Raw genomic sequence first — 21,385 nt, 5'->3', positions numbered from 1 at the left:
TGATATATTACTGTGGCCAGGTTTTGTGAAAGCTGTTTTCTAGTTTTTACGTTTCTAAAACTTGTTTTTGCTTTTCAGAAATGGTTTCACAAACCCATTTGAAAATGGAATGTTAATACATAAAAAGCAAGCAACAGGTGAATTCCTAGACTCTGCTTGGATTTGTTAGATTATTTTAGAGTTCTGTTAATTATAACTTGTAAGTCCTAATCAGGCTATATTAAAAGGCTAAATAGAAGGTTATAGTCTTACCCTTTCCCCATTTCCATACTCTAAAAGAGTAAAATAAACACATCTACACTTCACTCAGAATAAAAATAAACACTTCAGAGTCATAAAATTGAGAAACACATTTTTAAATGGGAGACTTTAATATTGTATTAAAAAACACAAAAGTTGTGTTTTTGTTTCCTTCCATGAAAATTTTTTCCGTTTAAATTATGTGAGTGCTGAGATGTTTACTTTTATTTTAGTGTATGGAATGAATTTTTTACTAAAGTCTTCAGGCATCTCTCACCACACTTACATATAGGTTTTTAAAATGACAGCCTGATAGATGCACACAGAAAAAGAAAATCATTTAATTTTATTGTGAATTCTCCCGGACACCAGCACCAGTCCACTTATTTGAAAGTAATATCACGAGGAGGAAAATGAGTTATTGTGTGTGAAAATCCTTTGGAATTGCTTTAAAATGTAAACTATTTTTAAAAATAGCCTAATTAATCTTTGGCCTAGGCCAACCCCAAGCAAAATAATAATAATAATTTTCCAGTTACTTCAGATTAGCCTTTATTTATAAACATTTAAATGTTTTGGAAGTATTGTTTAAACCAGGGATCCTCAAACCATGACCCAGACAGGTTGCCCATTTTTGTAAAGTTTTCTTAGAACACAGCCACACCTGTTCATTTATGTATATGATTGACTTTGCAATACAAGGGCAGAGTTGAATAGTTTTGACAGAAATGGCATGGCCCACAAAACTTAAACTATCATCAGACCCTTTGAGTAATAGTTTGAAGGTCCCTAGATTAAGCCATACTGCAATCTGATGGCTTCTTCTTATAATCAAGAAGCAGTTATTTGTTGGATACCTAAACCAAAATGCAAAAGATGATTTTTCCTCTTGCAAAGTTTTCCTGTTATGTAATTAAAAAATTAAAGCTCAGCAAAATATTATTTTAGCCATTCTTTCCCCCATTCATTGCTTAGTAGCCTTGTCCTTGCTCGGTTTCAACAAGTGAAAGCTTTATTTTTGTTTTCTATACATTTGAAAATCACTACATACTAAAAGATTCTATTATACCTTCTTCAACTCCCCCAGAAGAACTTGAGAAAGGATTTTTTTTTTTCTGTGATGGTGAATGTAGGCCTTTTCTTTGTTCTCTGCTTAATTCCAACCTATAATATCAAGCATAGAAACTCCTTTTCCCTTTTCTTTCACAGGACTTTGATTTATATACTTGCCTTATCATTCACCTATATGTATTTAAGTTATACATAGTATGTGGTTAATTAGCAATTAGTGAGCATAATAGACTTCGCTTCTTGAAAGGGGTAGCTATAGCTGAGAAATCACAGGAAATGATGGAATAACTCTCAAAAGTTCAACTTAGCTGAAGTAGAACTATAAACTACTTATACTTACTTGGAATACACTATTGTAGAATTTTACAATGTTAGAGCTAGAATGCGTTGTAGACTAATGAAGAGAGTTGATCTAATGTGCGTTAGAATCAAACTTCAATGTGCATTAGAATCACCTGACTGGCTTGTTAAACTGCAGGATGCTGAGCCAACCCTCCAGAGTTTCTGATTCAATAAACCTGAGGAAGGCCCGAGAATTTGCATTTTTAAAACATGTTCCCTGTTGATGATGATGATGCTGATCAGGAGTCCACACAATGAGAATGTAATAGAGAAAGGGATGGCTGACCACTGGGGATTAATTCAGAGCTATTAGGATAGGGTATGGTCCTCATACTTTTAGTATACCCAGGGGAGATCAGACACTGTGACCCATGCTATTCAAACCCAAGAAACATAGATAAGCCATAATTCTGATTTTTTATAGCTGCCAGGTGGACCTGATAATTGAGGTGACAAGTCATGGCCTCTTACACCATATGCGTTGATGGAGACCCCGAGAAATACTTGTTCTTTGAGCTCCTCATTTAATTAGACTAATTTAAAAAAAAAACTGTTCTCATTGTCATTATTATGACTTTTGCATGGCTTTTAATTTAGTTCAGCTCTGGATTGTTTCCCTGAAGTGACTCTCAAATATGCTTAACTACACATTTATAAACTATATTTTAGGATTGGAGTGTTCTCACAGACATAGCCAATCATATCCATTATCCATTTCCCTCTCATCAGTAATCTTAATTCCACCTTTTGGATACATGTTTAGTTAGTCCCATATATAAATTATAAATGATATTTAAAGATCTTCTAGTCCTAGTCCAACTAACTTACTTTACATATAGGAAACTAAGCCAACCAGATAACTTGCCATATCACATTACTTAGCAAAAAGGCTTGGATTAGCACTCCACCCAAGTCATTAAATCCTAAACCACTGAACTCAATCACCATGGCTGGAGGAGGAAGCTGAGTCAATGCAGTGTTTGTCCATTTGAAAGACTACATAGAATTTTTTAAAGTACATGAAACCATACTTGTAAATCACCTTAGTAGCAGTATATTTTGGCTACCCTAAATAGCTTCAAATCTGTAAAATGAGGGATAGTAATACCTACCTTCAGGGCTGATTGTTTCTCGCTTACCTGTCCTTCCTCACCAGCTGTACCCACTTTAGAATCCTTAAAGTCACCTTCTAGTGTTCAGCTGCTAAAAAAACAACAAGAGTTTTGCCTTTAGTTCCTCACTTCTCATCCTTTTACTCCTCAAATTCCAGACATTTGAGTTCTGCCTACGCCATTCTCCTGGAACTGTTTTCTCAAAGGTCTTAATGACCAACTGATGACTTTTTACCCCAAGACACCTTTTGAGACCTCAGCTTGTTATCCCTTCTGTCAGTTTCAGCACTCCTGACCACCACTACTTTTTCTTTTTCTGCTACTTCATTCACCAGTCTCCATCTTTGTTCATAGGTTCTCTTCCCTTCATCTCTTCAACTTACATCTTTTCTCAGGGATATGTTTCTGCCTTTTTTCTTATTTTGTGCTCCTTCCCTTGGCAGTTCTAGCCATTACAAAGAGTTATTTATGCACCTGTCTTTGAATGACATCTCTGCTTCTGACATCTCTTCCAAGTGCTGCATGCCTACCTGATCTTGCCATACCACCTAGCCCACTGATAATTTCAGACTCAGTACATTTGAAACTGAGGTCATCTCTTCTTCCCCAGCCACAATAGGCTTTCCCTCCTTTGTTCTTCAACTTTGTTAATCTCTAAAATGTGCAGATGCTCCTCGACTTACAACGGGTTATGTCAGAATAAATCTATCATATGTTGAGAATATCATGAGTAGAAAATGCATTTAATACACCTAAGCTAGCACAGGAAAAGAGTAAAATTCAAAATCTGAAGTACAGTTTCTACTGAATGCCTATCAGTTTCACACCATCATAAAGTGAAAAAATGGTGAGTCAAAAAACACATAGAAATGCAAAAGACCTAGATTATCTAAAACAGTCTCAAGAAAGAAAAAGTTGATGGACTTAACACTACGTAACTTTATGATTTACTATAAACATAGAACAGTAAGACAGTGTGGTTATAGCATAAGAATCAATAAATCCGTGCAACAGAATAGAGAGCCTGGAAATAGACCTATGCTTTATAGTCGTGATTTTAAGAAGGTACCAAAGCAATCCATTGAGGAAGGGAATTTAAAGATCTTATAGTCCTAGTCCAACTAACTTACTTTACATATAAGTAAGCACCAAGTCTTTGGTGTAAATGGTGCTAGGATAATGAAGTATTCATATAGAAAAAAAATGAACCTGGCCCTCTACCTTATTAAGCAAAATTAATTTGGGATGGATCATAGACTTAAATGTAAAAACTAAAAATCATACATATTTTAATAGAATGCATTGGAGAATATCTTGATGAGTAGGGGATAGGTGGAAGTTTCCTAGAAAGGTCACAGAAAGTAAACACCATATGAAAAAATTTGATAAACTTCGTCAAAATTTAAAACTTTTTGTCAGAAACATGGTTAAGAAAGTTTACAGGCAAGCAACAGACTAGGAGAAAATATTTTCCAAAACACATAACCTGCCAAAGGACTGGAATCTAGGATACATGAAAAAGTTCCTACAACTCAATATGCGTATAATAACACATAACCCAAACTGTTTTAAATGAGCAAAAGATTTGAAGACAGTTCACCAATGAAGATAATGCAAATGGCCAGTAAGAACGTGAAAGAAATTAGCAGAGAAATGCAAATTAAAATCCTAATTAAAGGCTGGGCATGGTGGCTCAACCTGTAATCCTTGCACTTTGGGAGGCCAAGGCAGGCAGATCATCTGAGGTCATGAGTTCGAGACCAGCATGGCCAACATGGCAAAACCCCATCTCTACTAAAAATACAAAAATTAGTTGGGCGTGGTGGTGCATGCCTGTAATCCCAGCTACTCAGGAGGCTGAGGCAGGAGAATTGCTTGAACCCAGGAGGCAGAGGTTTCAGTGACCCAAGATCATGCCACTGCACTTCGGCCTGGGTGACAGAGCAAGACTCCTTCTCAAAATAAGAAAAAAAAATCCTAATTAAAGGCTACTGTACATCCACTAAACTGGCCAAAATTCAAAAGATTGATAACACCAAATGTTAGCAAGGTCGTGGAGCAACTGGAACTCTTTTACAGTGTTGCTGGGAATGTAAAATGGTACCATCGTTATGGAAAACTAACTGGTAGTTTTTCTAAAATTAAACTTATACCTACTCTGTGACCTAACAATTCCACTCTGAGGTATTTACCCAAGAGAAATGAAAACATAGATACAAAAAGACTAGTACCAATGTTTAATAGCCATTTTATTCATGATAGCTAAAAACTGGAAACAGCCCAAGTATACAACAATAGAAGAATAAACTCTGGCATATTTATACATTGAATACCTAAGTAAGATAAAGGAATGAATTACTGATAAATGTAATAACATGAATGAATTCCAAAAATATGATGAGGAAGTAATATCTTACACAAAAGAACAGATACTGTGGTTCAATTTGTATAAAATTCTAGAACAGGCAGTCTTTCTTGGGAAAAAGAAAAATCAGAATAGTGGTTACCTCTGGGGTGATCAAGTCAGGATTGACTGGTATAAGGAGTTTGAGGTATTTGGGATCTGATCAAAGATTTAACATACTGTACAGGATTGCATGAGAGAGTAAATCCCTCACAGTATGAGACTGTCCAGAGGCTTATGGCAAGGAGCCACCATCCAGAAGGGAAGGAGGGCAGGGGAGAAAAGAATCAGAGCAGATATTTCTGGAGAGTAGATGTCCATTCCTCAGTAGTGAGGAATGGCTAGGTCAGAGAGCTCTAAAGGGCATGAGCAACTTGGGGGTCTCATAACCACAGACACTCTCTTTTCAGTGGCCAGCAGGTGCTGGGTGTAGTTTGATGGAGTATGCAAAGCAGGCAGGCTGTTACTGGCTAAAAATCTGATTGGGCTATTTTTAAAATACTTCGATATATAAAAATTTAAGTTTGATACTAGTGAGGTTTTGAACTGACAGGTCTCAGCCTGCAGTGGAGAAATAAACAACTCAGGAGCCAATCCATAGAGACTATATTTGGTTAATTTATATAATAGCTGAGAAGGGGCAAGAGGGAATTATTTGGAGTGATGATCACTTTCTAAATCTTGTTAGAGGCTTAGATTACACAGATAAGTACATTTGTCAAAAGTCAGTGGATATACACCTAAGATTTCTACATTTTGTTGTATGTAAATTTGATATCAAGAGAAAAATTCAAAATAAATAATTGAACTCTAGTTAATGATATGTATGCTGAAGCATTCAGGGGGATGTGTACTGCCTGTATGTAGTTTACCCTGAAATGCCAAAAATAAAATGAATTATTCAATGGATGGTTGGATAGGTATTTGGTAAAGCAAGTATAGTAAAATACTAATGGTAGAATCTATATTGAGATACATATACATGTGTTTATTATAAAACTATTTCAACTTTTCTTTGTTTCAAAATTTTCATAATGAAATATTAAAGACTACTGTGTGGTGAATAGACTCATGACCAGTTAGGATGCTATACCATTGTATTAAAAAAAATTACAGAATTTTGTAGTTCTTGACCAACTATAAGATGATCGTTTGACTGATCTGTGGCATTTGATCTGTTACAGGGACAGTCCTTCTGCTAGTGTTGACACATGCACATTTCTGTCATCATTAGTGTGCTCCAATAGGACTCTGCTGATTGATGGCCGGGCAGAACTCAAAAGAGGCCTCCAGAGGCAGGAGCGGCATCTTTTCCTATTCAATGATCTGTTTGTTGTGGCCAAAATCAAGTATGTATACTATATACTCCTGATTATCATTATAAAATTGCACTTTTACTAACAAAGATACCCTTTCTACTCAATGCTTACTGTAAGAATGTCTTGCCTTTGTTACTATAGGTAATATCTAAAGTGATTTTATGCCCTTCATTGCAAAAAAAAATCGATTGTTCATTTTTTCAACAAGTGTTTATTTAGGTCCTGTTCTGTGCCATGTCCTGAATAAATGTAGGAAATTCAATGAAGAATGTGATGGGTACGGTCCCTGCTCTTTGGGAGCTTATATTCTAATGTGGGAGCTTACAGTCTTATGCATGGGGTGAGGGAGAATGACAAATTGTGATTAGTACTATGAAGAAAATAGGGTGCTGGGTGAAGTAAAAGATGGCATATATGTTAGGTAGGTGTAGTCAGGGGAAAAATTCAGTGAAGGATGAAAAGCAATCAGCCATTCAGATATTGGAGGATGAGCATTCCAGGGAGAGGGAACAGCAGGTGCAAAGGTAGTTGGGGAAAGCTTAGCACTTGGAGGAATTAAAAGAAGGCCTGTGTAACTGGAGCATAACAAGCCAAGGAGAGTAAGATGAATTAAGATTAGAGAAGTAGACAAGGGTTAGGTTATAAGGACCTGTGTAGGCTATATTGATTATCTATTGCCATTTAACAAATTACCCAAAAACATTACAGTTTAAAATTATAAATATCTCATGCAGTTTCTCTGAGTCAGGAGTCTGAGAGTGTTTCACTGGATGCTTCTGGCTTACAAGCCTTCACGAGAGCCCTCAAGCTTGCTGGCTTGGGTTAAAGTTATCTCAAAGCTCACCTGGAGCTGGAGAATCTACTTCCAAGCTCACTCAAGTGGATGCTGTTAGCCTTAGTTACTCAGTGGCTTGTGGCCAGAGGCTTGAGTTCCTCTCCACGTGTATGAGTAAAAGGCTCCAACTAAATACACATTTATAAGAAACGGTGTAGAATGCTTAGTGAACTGTTTTTATACATTTTTTTAAATTAAAGACAAGCATAAAGATAAGAACCGTTTCAGAATGAAGGAATGCCTACAGATATAGTTTTGGAGAGGATATGGTATTATAGGAATAAAGAGAACGAATAAGTTTCTCCAGCCACATCTTTGCACTAGGTCCACTTGAAGCTCTAAGTTGGGAAACTATTAATAGAGGAAAAAGTCATTATTTTCAAAAAACAGTTATTCCCTTAATTAAAAATTATTGGATGAGTTCTTTATGCTAGATATTATAATAGGAGAATCACAAAGATTTCGTTTAATTATCCTAACAATCCCCCAAGATAAGAGTTGTTTCAGATATTGAACACTGAGGCTCAGGAAGGTTTGTTATATACTAAGAAATGGCAGGGCTGGGGTTTGAATCTAGGCCTTACTTCCAACGGCTGCTTCTTTCTATATTTTTTAGCACACAGTACTCATTAGATGTATACCTCAGCCTGGAGGTAGATAAATAGACAACAAAAATTTTTTATAATAACCAATTTTCTAAACTTTAAGATCTTAAAGACTATTTACTTGTAGCATGCATTCAGCTCTTAGGGAAGAATGTATTTTCCTTCACCTTTTTTGGATATTTTTCCCCTTAGCAGTTACAATGATAACTAGAATAGAGGACCTTTGTTTTTTTACCTGAGGTTATTTACTGTGCTGTATACTGTTAGCATGTAAGTTGTTTTTATGGAATCTATGTTTTGCTAAAAATATTTTATATAAAGACAGTTTCTTTTCCACTAGAATATTGCTGTTTTTAGATATATTGGCAAAATGTGTACCCATTGTCTGCTTCTGTAGCTGACTTTTTATTTTGATTGTCCCTTTCTCACATAAGGTTATACCACTTTTTCCCATACACTGCTTTTGAGATAACTTTAATGTCCACTTTAATGTTTTCGTGAAGTGAAAAAAATTCTATCAATTGATTTAAATGCTGTTATTTAAGAGGTTCAAATTATGAAAGATTATTTTAAGTACTTCTTATACCCATTGGGAATATTTAAAAGTGCGAATGATCTAAGTTATTTTTTGACATAAATCCAAAACCCCTGAGATAGAACATAGATATTTGAGATGATGATGATGATTATTATTATTATTAAATCCTGCCACTTTGCAAAAATTTTGACCACCATTTTTTAGGAAATTGATTACATGATCATTCTCATAGCAGTTAGTTAGTTATATTCACAGATCCTTCTTAATATGAAAGAACTTAATTTTTATGAAATAACAATCAAAAGCAAATAGTCCCTGTAATTCCAAACCTATGTCTTCTGAGTCATTTCTTACCCTTGGATGAAGGATTGAGTGTTACCCTGGATCAATTAATTTGTTGAAATAATCTGAAATTAGCACTTAAGTCTCTTACTGAGCCATAGGAGACAAGGAGGGGACCTTAGGTTCCATATTACATCAGCTCATCTTCAGGCTTCTTTTAGATACTGCTTTCAGTCCTTAGGTTGGGCCTAGAGAAATAAACTTGAGAGGGATAAATAATCAATCAACTGCTACATATTTGTTTAGTGAATTTTAGTAAGTACAACAGTAAAACGGGTATTAAATACTTCCTTCTTTTGACTAAATTATTATATTTGATCTGTTTTGTACTGGATGCCGACAATGTTTGCTGAAAATTGTTTTGAGTTTATGGTAATTCTTTTCCATACTAAATTAGTAAAGTATTAAAGCCAGATGGGTACTTGGGGACCACTTTTGATATGCATTTGCAAGATAAATAAGTTACTTTTCCAATAAAATCATGAGTTTTCTTTTTTAAAAACCAGGATCTGTTTTACAAACATTATTTAGAAAGAAGTTAATATTCTCTCTGATAATAGCCATTGAGCACCCATATGGAATTTACAGAAAGGAGAAATGACTGTATTTACCTCACACCCTCGTAAGCCATCACTATTATCATATTTTATGAGAATAAGCAAATAGTAAATAGTAATGAGTTCTGTTTAGGTGAAGAAGATGAAATAAATTTATTAATAGAATTACCATCAGATATTTGTGGAATATATAATGAACTCTACCCCAAAACATGTTTAATAAGACATCCCTATCTTAGAATGGGGAGAAATCTCCCTGGAATCCTGTGTATTTCATCAATTCACTGGAATTTTTTCCAGTATGAAGATAGGAGGATAGGAAATCAAAGTACATCTGTCAGCTTAATAAATTTGTAATAAGGGACTACGTTGTCAAAATAAAGAATTTGGCCAGGCGCAGTGGCTCACACCTGTAATCCCAGCACTTTGGGAGGCCGAGGCAGACAGATCACCTGAGGTCAGGAGTTCGAGACCAGCCTGGCCAACATGGCAAAACCCCCATCTCTACTAAAAAATACAAAAAAATTAGCCGGGCGTAGTGGCAGGCACCTATAATCCCAGCTACTCAGGAGGCTGAGGCACGAGAATCACTTGAACCTGAGGGGTGGTGGTTGCAGTGAGCCAAGATCATGCCAATGCACTCCAGCCTGGGTGACAAGAGCGAAACTCTGTCTCAAAAAAATATATATATTTTTAGGGGGTTTTGTTCAGTCTGTTTATATTGGATTCACACTTTTTAATTCCTGTTGTCATAATACTATTGGAGATAGTCGTCATGCTATTGGAGCCGGTTCACATTAAATTAGCATTTTTAAATTTCTATAGTCTAATACTATGGAAATTGAAAGTGGAAAAATCTGAAGAAGCATTCTATGACCCCAAGAATGCCCATTTTAATATAAAGCTTTATTGGAATACTTCTTTTAAATATTTTCAAACTAGTCCATCTAGCTTTATGTTCATAAGTGTTCATGAGATTTCTTCCTCAGCCTCCATAATAGCCACATCAGAAAGCCTTGTAGCTCTGGAGAGATTAAAAAAAAAAAGCCAAAGATTGAAAAGCTGAAGAGAACTTCATGGAAAATATAACTTCACCCGGGTTTCAGGTGCTTTATAGGAATAGTGATATCCAAGACTTTTTATAGATGCCTAGTGGTTAAGAGCATAAATAAGCTCAGGAGTCAACACTGTCCAAGTTTAAATTCTAGCTCTGCTACTTAAGCTGTGTGACTTTTAGCAGGTTAACCTCTCTACGACTCCATTTCCTTACCTGTAAAATTCCTGAGGATCAAACTAAATAATGTGTGTAAAGTATTTACAACAATGGTATATGGTAAGTTCTCAATAAATATTGGCCATTATTTTTATTATAGGAGAATGGAAGTCATTGTTTATACTTTTAGACAGTTGCTTGTTTTGGAAATCGGGGTGGATAATGTAGCACCTTATTGATCTAGGGAAAGGATCTTTGGGATGACTTTTTTTCCAGGTCAACGGATGTGGATGTTCCCACATGATATCTGCAGCATCTACTGAGATAGAGACTTGCATCAGAAAATACAAAATATGTGAAAACAAATATGGGAGGATACCTATTTTTTCCAAAAATGTGTAGTTTTAACAGTTGGCATCAATAAATAAAATTTGGTCTGTAATTGGGTCTGTTTTATTTTAAAAATCTAAAGATTCATAACAATAGGGTGGAAAATATTGAAATATAGAAAGAAGCCATTATGCCACAAGGCACTTTCTATTACACTTAAATTCTGTGGGAATCATAAATGAGGCTTTGAATCTAGATTCTCCTTCAGTTCCTGCAAAATCCTTTTTCATCTTATGAATTCCACTGAAAAATTTTAGCTTTAAATATTCCATGAATCAGAGGAATTTTTAGGGATACTTCCATATAAGGTACCTTTAATTTCATTTTAACTTTTAGTATTTACACAAATGGGTCTGAATGCCAAGAAGTACCCATGTTTTCCTGAGCATTCTCTTTATCCTTCTCTGTGCCTTCTGTTTAAGTCTCAGGTCCCTGCTAGTGTTAAACCTGACAATTAGGTCAAGAGATATGGTGGTTTCCATATCAGGAGTCTACAGGGATTAGGTAGAAATTGTCTAAAAGCAATTTCACTTGAATTAAAATAGACCACCTTCAAGGTCCCCAGAGATGAATGTTAATTGTGTCAACCCTACTTTTTTTTTTAAGTTTGGTTTAGGTTCTTTTTGGGGGACTGCACATTTTTACTTTTAACCAGAATATAAGGGGAAATGGTTGAACAAAATCTAAGAAATGAAATTTAAAATAACCTATGCTTCTAAAGGCTAGAAAATCTTGTAGCCACTTCATTGAAAATATATTATAAATTCTTCTAATTAACTACAGGGTTTTTTTAGTGCATCTCTCTTAAAATGAAAATTTTATAAACATTTTAATAAATCCTGGCTGGGCACGGTGGCTCACGCCTGTAATCCCAGCACTTTGGGAGGCCGAGGCGGGTGGATCATGAGGTCAAGAGATCGAGACCATCCTGGCTAACAAGGTGAAACCCCGTCTCTACTAAAAATACAAAAAATTAGCCGGGCGCGGTGGCGGGCGCCTGTAGTCCCAGCTACTCGGGAGGCTGAGGCAGGAGAATGGCGTGAACCCGGGAAGCGGAGCTTGCAGTGAGCCGAGATTGCGCCACTGCAGTCCGCAGTCCGGCCTGGGCGACAGAGCGAGACTCCGTCTCAAAAAAAAAAAAAAAATAAAAATAAAAATAAAAAAAAAATAAATCCTGTGTATTTTCTGTTTTCAGCCACTCAAATTGTTTTGGAAATTGGCAAGTTATAAATAATAAATGAATTAATATTTTGTAACAGCAGTACATTTGAAGTTAGGTTTTTGATCTAAATGCAATGCTCGACATATAGAAAAATAAGGTGGCCAGTTTATGCCTATTTCTTGCCATAAATGCAGGCATGAGGACTAACTGTTTCACCAATGTTTCAAAGATCTTCTTGGGCTAAGGTAGCCAACCCTTTTTTAGTTTACTCTTCTAGGCACTGAAGATAAAAACAATGAATAAGACACTTTGCCCATGATTAGTGAAAATGGTCCTTTTATCACAAGTACAGAAACTCCCATAAATTATTTTTCTTCTAAAAAAAAAAACAGGATACATGTGCAGAATGTGCAGGTTTGTTGCATAGGGTTACGTGTGCCATGGTGGTTTGCTGTTCCTATTGACCCGTCCTCTAAGTTCCCTCCCCTTATCCCCCACCCCTCATTAGGCCCTGGTATGTGTTATTCCCCTCTCTGTGTCCATGTGTTCTCAATGTTCAGCTCTCACTCTTATGAGTGAGAACATGCAGTATTTGGTTTTCTGTACCTGTGTTAGTTTGCTGAGGATGATGCCTTCCAGAGAAGCTCCCATAAAATTTAAGAAACAAAATAACAAAAGGTTCTGTTTGGTTTTTATCTTTCTAGATATAACAATAACTTTAAGATAAAAAATAAAATTAAATTAACTGATATGTGGACAGCAAGCTGTGTGGATGAAGTGGGAGAAGGCAACACCAATGCCATGAAATCCTTTGTTTTGGGCTGGCCCACAGTGAACTTTGTGGCCACTTTCAGGTAAGAACCACAGCTTGTCCTCTATTTACCTGGGTTAGCTACTATGATAATTTCTAGGATTGAAATTTTAAAAATTAATCAAATGTTGTTCCTCTAATTTTTAAGAGGGAAATATTTTATTCTGATTCCATATTAAATCAATAACTCATCTGTTGACACATACACCCAACCAAAATACTTGTATGCCATGTATTTCTCCCAATGGGCTTTTGATTAAAATATGTGAAAATTAATGGTAAATATTGGGAACTCTTGGGATTATGTACCTTGGTTTGACAAGTTATTTTTGTGAAAACAACAACAACAACAGCAACAACAGGAACTTCCAGGAATATGGAAGGGGAATAGAGTAGTCCCATCTTTAGGACCCCCTCTTCAACATCCCCTTCCTTAATATGTAGGTATTTGTTTTACGTATTGAGCTTTCAAGTCTTATCAGTCTTTTCAAACCACTGAAAAAGACTTTCATTGAAGCAAATTGTATAGTCCAATTAAGTTTCAATTAATGGTTTATACTCCTGAATTTTTAAATAAATAGTGTTTTATTATACAAATAAAACTAATTTCATGAAATACTGGTTGCCCAAATTGTATAGCAGGTTTTGAGTTGGTGTCTATAGAGATGTGACAATAAAAAGCAAATGTATGATTTTAAGGAGTCAGAGTTTCCCAAGACATGCTCCTATGCTAGGATGGGGTTGGAGAATGTATGAATACAGAATATTTGTCCTCTTCTAATGATTATGCTTTATTGGCACTGTCCAGTTCAGAGTGAACAATCACAATCACACCTGTGATTTTGAATAACTGTGTTCCAACCTCTCCAGTATTTGTTTTACACTTAAAGTTAGTGTCCATCACATGCACATGATGCTTTTTATTCTGCTTCTCTTCTTGCCACCACAAAACTCCTAGGACATCATCATAAAGCCAGACAACTTAAATTTTCCATGATGTTAATCTTTTATTAAAAGATAGGCATGTCATTAAATGCTATTATGCACTATTTGGCCTACCACAAGATTTTAAGAACTGATTTGGAAAAAAAAAATGTGTTTGTTTCATTCTCAGCATATCTTCTTTTCCATGACAGATTTCTCTAGATATTTTCATTTCCTATTGCTTTATCTCCTTGGAGTTACAGGTGAAAGGAAGTAATTTTAAGTGAGGGTATGACTACATGACATTTTTAATCAAGGAATTTTCATGAAACTTCTTTTTTTAAGAAGAGGGGAAAATGTGGAAAGAAGTTTTACCTATATTATATTATTTAAACTATGGTTCTTTAACCAAATGATCAAGGTTAATATCACCAGTGATGTCATGTAGATAACATGTACTCCTTGATGTATTGTGATAAGAAGAACAATTAACCTTGTGATCTTCCTCCCAAAAACCTTTAACTCCAGTCTAATCATGAGGAAATCATTCAACAAACACACAGTGAGCTATATTATGCAGGATACCTGACCAGCACCCCTTAAAATCTTCCAGGTCAGAAAAACAAAATCAGAGAAAGACTGAGAAATGGTCATAGATCAGTTACTAAAGAGATATAATAATTATAATGTGGTATTCTAGATTAGCTTCTAGAACAGAAAAAGGACATTAATGGAAAAAATGGTGAAATCTGAAATAAGTCAAGAGTTTGATAGTAATGTACTAATATTGGTTTCTTAGTTTTGACAAATGGACCATGATAATGTAAAAGAATAACATTTAGAGTCCTCTGAACTTAAACAGCATGAGAACTATGTAGGGAATCTCTATATTATCTTTGTAACTTTTACGGAAATCTAAAATTTCTGAATTTATTTTTTTAAAAAAGTGAAGTGTTGAGGAATTCTGCCTCTGATATGGCAGAGTGAGGTCTTTTGGAGAGGAATTTAAACTTGGAAGTAGGCACAAGTACTGGGTGAGTTTCCTGTTTTTAAGGCCTTAGCCTGAGAGCAGGGTACAGTTACATCATGGTGTAGGACAACTAAAACTGGCAAAAACAATCTTTCTGAGCTGAAGAACCAGAGGACAGAAGCTATGTCATCCACAGCTATTGTGGGATGAGGGGGAGAATCTCAAAAAGGAAAGTAGCAGAGAAGAGAAGCTCCAAATTCTATGTATAAACACTGCCCAAATCTCTGGCTGATCACCAAACCCCACATGCATGAGACAGACTCAAAGCATCTTGAAGCTAAGACTGAAAGAATCGAACTGAGCCGCAACTCATCACAGATGAAATAGAGTTTGTAGCTTCATCTAATCAAGTTAGTTTTATGCTAAAACAAAAATATCAACACTGTTCCACAAATATAACAGAATACAGTCTCCAAAACAAAACATTTGTAATGTCCAGAATACAATCTAAAATATCTTGACATGTGAAGAACAAGGAAAAAGATAATCAATAGAGACCAATCTTGAGATGATTCATATGTTGAATTACCAGAAAAGAACTTTAAAACAGCTTTCATAAGTAAGCATGGCAGGTAAAAGGAAAATTCAATTTAAATTAATAAAAAGATAGGAAATATCAGCAGAGAAATAAAAAATACTAAAAAGGGCCAAATGAAAATTCTAGAACTGAAAACTAAAATATTTTAAATAAAATATTTTCTGAGTGGCCTTCTTTGCAGAATGGAAATGAAAGAGGATTTGGTGAACTTGAAGATTTATCAATACAAATTGTGTAATCTGAGGAACAGGAAAAAAAAAGCAAAGATTTTTTAAAGGAAAAATGTATCACGGACTTGTGGGAATATATCAAAAAGTATAATATACATGTCACTGGAATTACAGAAAGAGGAGCGAGGAAATGGGGCTGAAAAAATAGTGGTTAAAAACTACCTAAATTTGGTAAAAGGCATAAATATACAGCTCACTGAACCCTAGACAGTGTGACTATTAAGAAAACTATACCTAGTCATGTTATAAACAACCATAAATCAAAAATAAGAGAAAGATCTTGAAAGCAGTCAGATAAAAACAATGTAGTACAAATAGGAAAATGACAATTTGAATTATTATGGCCCTTTCATTAGAAACTATGGAGGTTAGAAGACAGTGGAGCTTTTTTTTTTTTTTTTTTTTTTTGAGATGGAGTTTTACTCTTGTTGCCCAAGCCGTAGTGCAATAGCATGATCTCGGCTCACTGCAACCTCTGCCTCCCGGCTTCAAGTGATTCTCCTGCCTCAGCCTCCTGAGTAGCTGGGATTACAGGTGCACACCACCGCGCCCAGCTAATTTTTTTGTATTTTTAGTAGAAACTGGGTTTCCCCATGTTGGCCAGACTGGTCTCAAACTCCTGACCTCAGGTGATCTGCCTGCCTCAGCCTCCCAAAGTGCTGGGATTACGGACATGAGCCACCGCGCCCAGCTGACAATGGAATACATTTTTTAAAGTGTTGAAAACCGTTTAACCTAGAATACAGTATTCAGCAAAAATATTATTTTAAAATGAAGGTAGAATGAAGATTTTTTTAAAAAACTATAATAATTTATTACTAGCAGAACTGTCCTACCGAAAAAAATGTTAACACAAGTTTTTCACACTGAAGTGAAAGACAAGAGGGAAGCTCAGATCTTTAGGAAGGAGTGGAAATCATTGGAAATGTTAGGGAAATCTAGGTCATCATCCATTTAAAATTCCATCAGGTAGCAGGTTAAAGAAGCAGTCTCTACTATCCAGTTACTATAATAACTATTTTTTGTAAATGTAGCCAGACACAGTGACTGGTGCCTGTAATCCCAGCTGCTTGAAAGGCTGAGGTGAGAGGATCACTTGAGGGGGGGAGTTTGAGGCCAAACTGGTCAATATAGCAAGATTCTATCTCTACAAAAAAGTCAAAATATTATGCAGGCATGGTGGCATACACCTGTAGTCCCAGCTACTTGGGAGGCTGAGGTGGAGGATTGCTTGAGGCCATAGACCTGGGCAACATAGACCCCATCTCTAAAAAAATGTTTAAATTAGCTGAGCATGGTGGTACCCATCTGTAGTCTTAGCTACTTGGGAGGATGTGGCAGGAGCATTGCTTGAATCCAGGAATTCAAGACTGCAGTGAGCTGTGATTGCACTACTACACTCCAACCTGGGCAATAGCTCTAGCCTGAGCAAGACTCGGTCTCAAAAAAATAAAAATAAAAAGTAAAAACTAATAGCATTGAAATCTAAGACTGACAATTGCCAGAATCTTTGAAAACCTCCCAATTGAGTCAAATTGAGGGAAGAGCAGGCAATCCATGTGAGCTTTTCATGCTTTACTTTGGAAAACAGGGTAGTCACATCTCAAAAAAGCCCAAAAGGAGTTTCATCTCTATCACTACATATACTCTATCACTGCATATACTCTATCACTGCATATACTCTATCACTACATATGCACTATCACTACATATACACTATCACTACATATACTCTATCACTACATATACTCTATCACTACATATACTCTATCACTGTATATACTCTATCACTACATATACTCTATCACTGCATATACTCTATCACTACATATACTCTATCACTGCATATACTCTATCACTGCATACACTCTATCACTGCATACACTCTATCACTACATATACGCTATCACTACATATACTCTATCACTGCATATACTCTATCACTGCATATACCCTATCACTGCATATACCCTATCACTACATATACTCTATCACTGCATATACTCTATCACTACATATACACTATCACTACATATACTCTATCACTGCATATACTCTACCACTGCATATACTCTATCACTGCATATACTCTATCACTGCATATACTCTACATATATGCTATCACTACATATACTCTATCACTGCATATACCCTATCACTGCATACACTCTACATATATGCTATCACTGCATATACTCTATCACTGCATACACTCTATCACTGCATACACTCTATCACTGCATACACTCTATCACTACATATATGCTATCACTGCATATACTCTATCACTGCATACACTCTCACTGCATATACTCTATCACTGCATATACTCTATCACTGCATATACTCTACCACTGCATATACTCTATCACTGCATATACTCTATCACTGCATACACTCTACATATATGCTATCACTGCATATACTCTATCACTGCATACACTCTATCACTGCATACACTCTATCACTGCATACACTCTATCACTACATATATGCTATCACTGCATATACTCTATCACTGCATACACTCTCACTGCATATACTCTATCACTGCATATACTCTATCACTGCATATACTCTACCACTGCATATACTCTATCACTGCATATACTCTATCACTGCATACACTCTACATATATGCTATCACTGCATATACTCTATCACTGCATACACTCTATCACTGCATACACTCTATCACTGCATACACTCTATCACTACATATATGCTATCACTGCATATACTCTATCACTGCATACACTCTCACTGCATATACTCTATCACTGCATATACTCTATCACTGCATATACTCTATCACTGCATATATGCTATCACTGCATATACGCTATCACTGCATATACTCTATCACTGCATATACTCTATCACTGCATATACTCTATCACTACATATACACTATCACTACATATACTCTATCACTACATATACTCTGATTCACCAGAAAAATAGGTGCTGCACCTTGATTTCACAAATAACGGTATGAAAGAATGGGAAAATCAGTCAAAAGACACAGGAAGTCCTTGAATCTGACAATGGTCTATAAGAATCAGAAAATAATATTTTAACTTAAGTACCTACTGTGAATCTTAGACTACAAACTCAGGTATGCGTGTTTATTTATAGATCAAATTAAAACTCATCTTAAACCCCCATTTTGCCAAGCTGGTAGGAAATCAGATTTTCTTCTTTACTGGAACTGCTGTTTTTGTAAGGTAGAACTAGAATACAGGAGACTTCTAAGATGCCTCCAAAACAGATAAAGGGCTTCTGACTTTAGTCTATTGTGGTCACTGTTGACATTTTTTTCTATGCCCAGAGTTGTCCCTGTATATCCAGAGATGTTCTGCTGCTTTGCCATAAAGGGGGGCAGGGGGTGGGTGGAAGGTATCTTTGCCGATATAAAAACTTTGGTGCCTAGGACCCAGCCTCCCTAATGACTCCTTAAAACCATTTCCTCTGGGTTCTTTCTGTTTCCTTAGGGCACCTTAACTGAGTGACATATGGTTCCCGGCTCACTCTCAGTGATGACAGGCCTCTATCTCCTCCATAATTTGAGAGAATCTTCTAATCTGCCATGCCCTTTTTATTTTATTTTCCAAGATACACTGCTTTCTCCTGTCCTGGATCTTACTGTCTTTTTAATGGGTTTAAGTATTTATAAAACGCAGAGATAGTCATTGACTTTGAAGTACTTCTATTTTTAGTCCTGTAAAAATGCCTGAGATTAAGAATTACTAAAGAAAGGGAGTCCTGGATTCAGGTATAGAGCAGGGGGGAAAGGGAAATATACAAGAAGATTACACAAATCAATCTCCATACATTAACCTGACACACTTCATAATTTATATTTTGAAGTAATATATGCTGTTTATTCAAACAAGGGAACACAGCAATGAGAATGAATTGGCCAGGCACAGTGGCTCACACTTGTAATCCCAGCACTTTGGGAGGCGGAGGCGGGTGGATCACCTGAGGTTGGGAGTTTGAGACCAGCCTGGCCAACATGGAGAAATCCTGTCTCTACTAAAAACTACAAAATTAGCCAGGCGTGGTGGCACATGCCTGTAATCCCAGCTACTTGGGAGGCTGAGGCAGGAGAATTGCTTGAACCCAGGAGGCGGAGGTTGCGGTGAGCCAAGATTGCGCCATTGCACTTCATCCTGGGCAAAAAAAAAAGTGAAACTCCATCTCAAAAAAAAAAAGAAAGAAAAAGAAAATAAAAGAGAATGAATTATCTAAAACTACATGTAGTAATATAATTAAATCTTTTAAACATAATGTTGAAAGAAGCCAGACACAAAATAGTATATACTTTATGGTTACATTTATATAAAGTACTCAAACATGCAAAACTATTCTGTGCTGTTGGAAGTCAGGATAGTGGAAACTACTGCCTGGAAAAGAACATAAGGGACCTTCCAAGGTGATTTTCTATTTCCTGATCTGGGTGCTGGTTTATGTGACTGTGTTCAGTTTGTTAAAATTATTCAAGCTGTACATGTAAGCTTTGTGCAGTTTTCTCTATATGTCTTTTATTTCAGTTAAAAGTTAAAAAAATACTAAGAGTCTTAAAGGGGCAATTTTCTTTAACTCCTTTGAAAAAAGTTAGCAGGTCTGAAGCAAAGCTCTTATCTGTTTCTCAACAGATTTTTGCTAAATAAATCCAAGATTTGACATAAGTGAACCTAGAAAATCTATTTTAGAAAAGAGAATACATCAAAAGATAGTAAGGAATTGTGAAAGATGGAAAATGTATGCTCAATGGTAAAAAAAAAAAAAAAGAAAAAAATGTGGTACACTTTCTGATGACAAATCCTGGGAGATTGCTTATGGAGAAAATTGCTAAACAATAAAGTTAGTGAATAAATGTATTTTTGGAAATAATAAAATAACTAGGATTTCCAACATCTCTAAAAAGATTAGAAAATTAGCCAGGCCTTGTGGCACGCATCTGTAGCCCTAACTACTCAAAAGGCTGAGCCAGCGTGATCACTTGGGCCCCAGGAGTTCAAGCCTACAGTGAGCCATGATCATGCCTCTATACTCCAGCCCAGGCAACAGAGCAAGACCCCTGTCTTTAAAAATATGAGAGAGAAATATGATTTTAAAAGCTTGTTAGTGACAAGACCACATAGGAATAAACTTTAAATTATTTTTAATCTGAAGAATTAAACGTAATAGTGAAATCAGCATAAAAATTAATACTAATTTAGTTGCAAATGGATTGATCTTAGAAGGTTATAGTTTTTAAGAATAAGTTTTCAATGAACTAATTTACTAAATCATAATCTTGCTGTATGTATTTTTTTTTTAATGTTTCTTTTCCTAACAACAAACTGGTTTCTGGGCAAAGAGATTTCCATTCACATGCCAAATTTCTCTTAATCTCTGTGTTCTCAATATTAAGCATACTTTCTATTTGTATGGCCGTGTGAGCTACGAAAATACTAACCCAGTTTCATAGATGTAGAAACTGAGGCTTAGAGGTTAAATGACTTGCCCATGATTGTCTAGCTTGCATATAATTTTGAAATCAAGTGTTAGATTCCAAATCAAGTACTCTTTCCACTATAGGAACTCTCTCACACTGATATAATACCACTTGTAAAAAAGCAGTAAAGTAGAAAAGAGGGTTTGTCTTAGATCCATCCAAAAGGATTTAATAAAACTACATTTGACTGTAGTTTTTCCAAAGGGATATTTCCAC

General features: G+C 35.8%; 1 protein-coding gene across 6 annotated transcripts in view; it reads left to right on the top strand.

Annotated features, from left to right (window-relative positions):
* ARHGAP20 (Rho GTPase activating protein 20) overlaps positions 1-21,385 on the top strand; it is a 136,147-nt gene that overhangs the window by 76,044 nt on the left and 38,718 nt on the right. For all 6 annotated transcript variants that reach the window (NM_001258418.2, NM_001258416.2, NM_001258417.2 and 3 more), the window contains 2 exons: positions 6,354-6,518; positions 12,835-12,984. In NM_001258418.2, the coding sequence (NP_001245347.1) occupies positions 6,354-6,518; positions 12,835-12,984 (315 nt within the window). The remainder of the gene's footprint in view (positions 1-6,353; positions 6,519-12,834; positions 12,985-21,385) is intronic.

This window comes from Homo sapiens, chromosome 11, assembly GCF_000001405.40.
Source record: "Homo sapiens chromosome 11, GRCh38.p14 Primary Assembly".
Classification (NCBI taxonomy): domain Eukaryota; kingdom Metazoa; phylum Chordata; class Mammalia; order Primates; family Hominidae; genus Homo; species Homo sapiens.
This window is presented reverse-complemented; position numbering and strand designations above follow the sequence as displayed.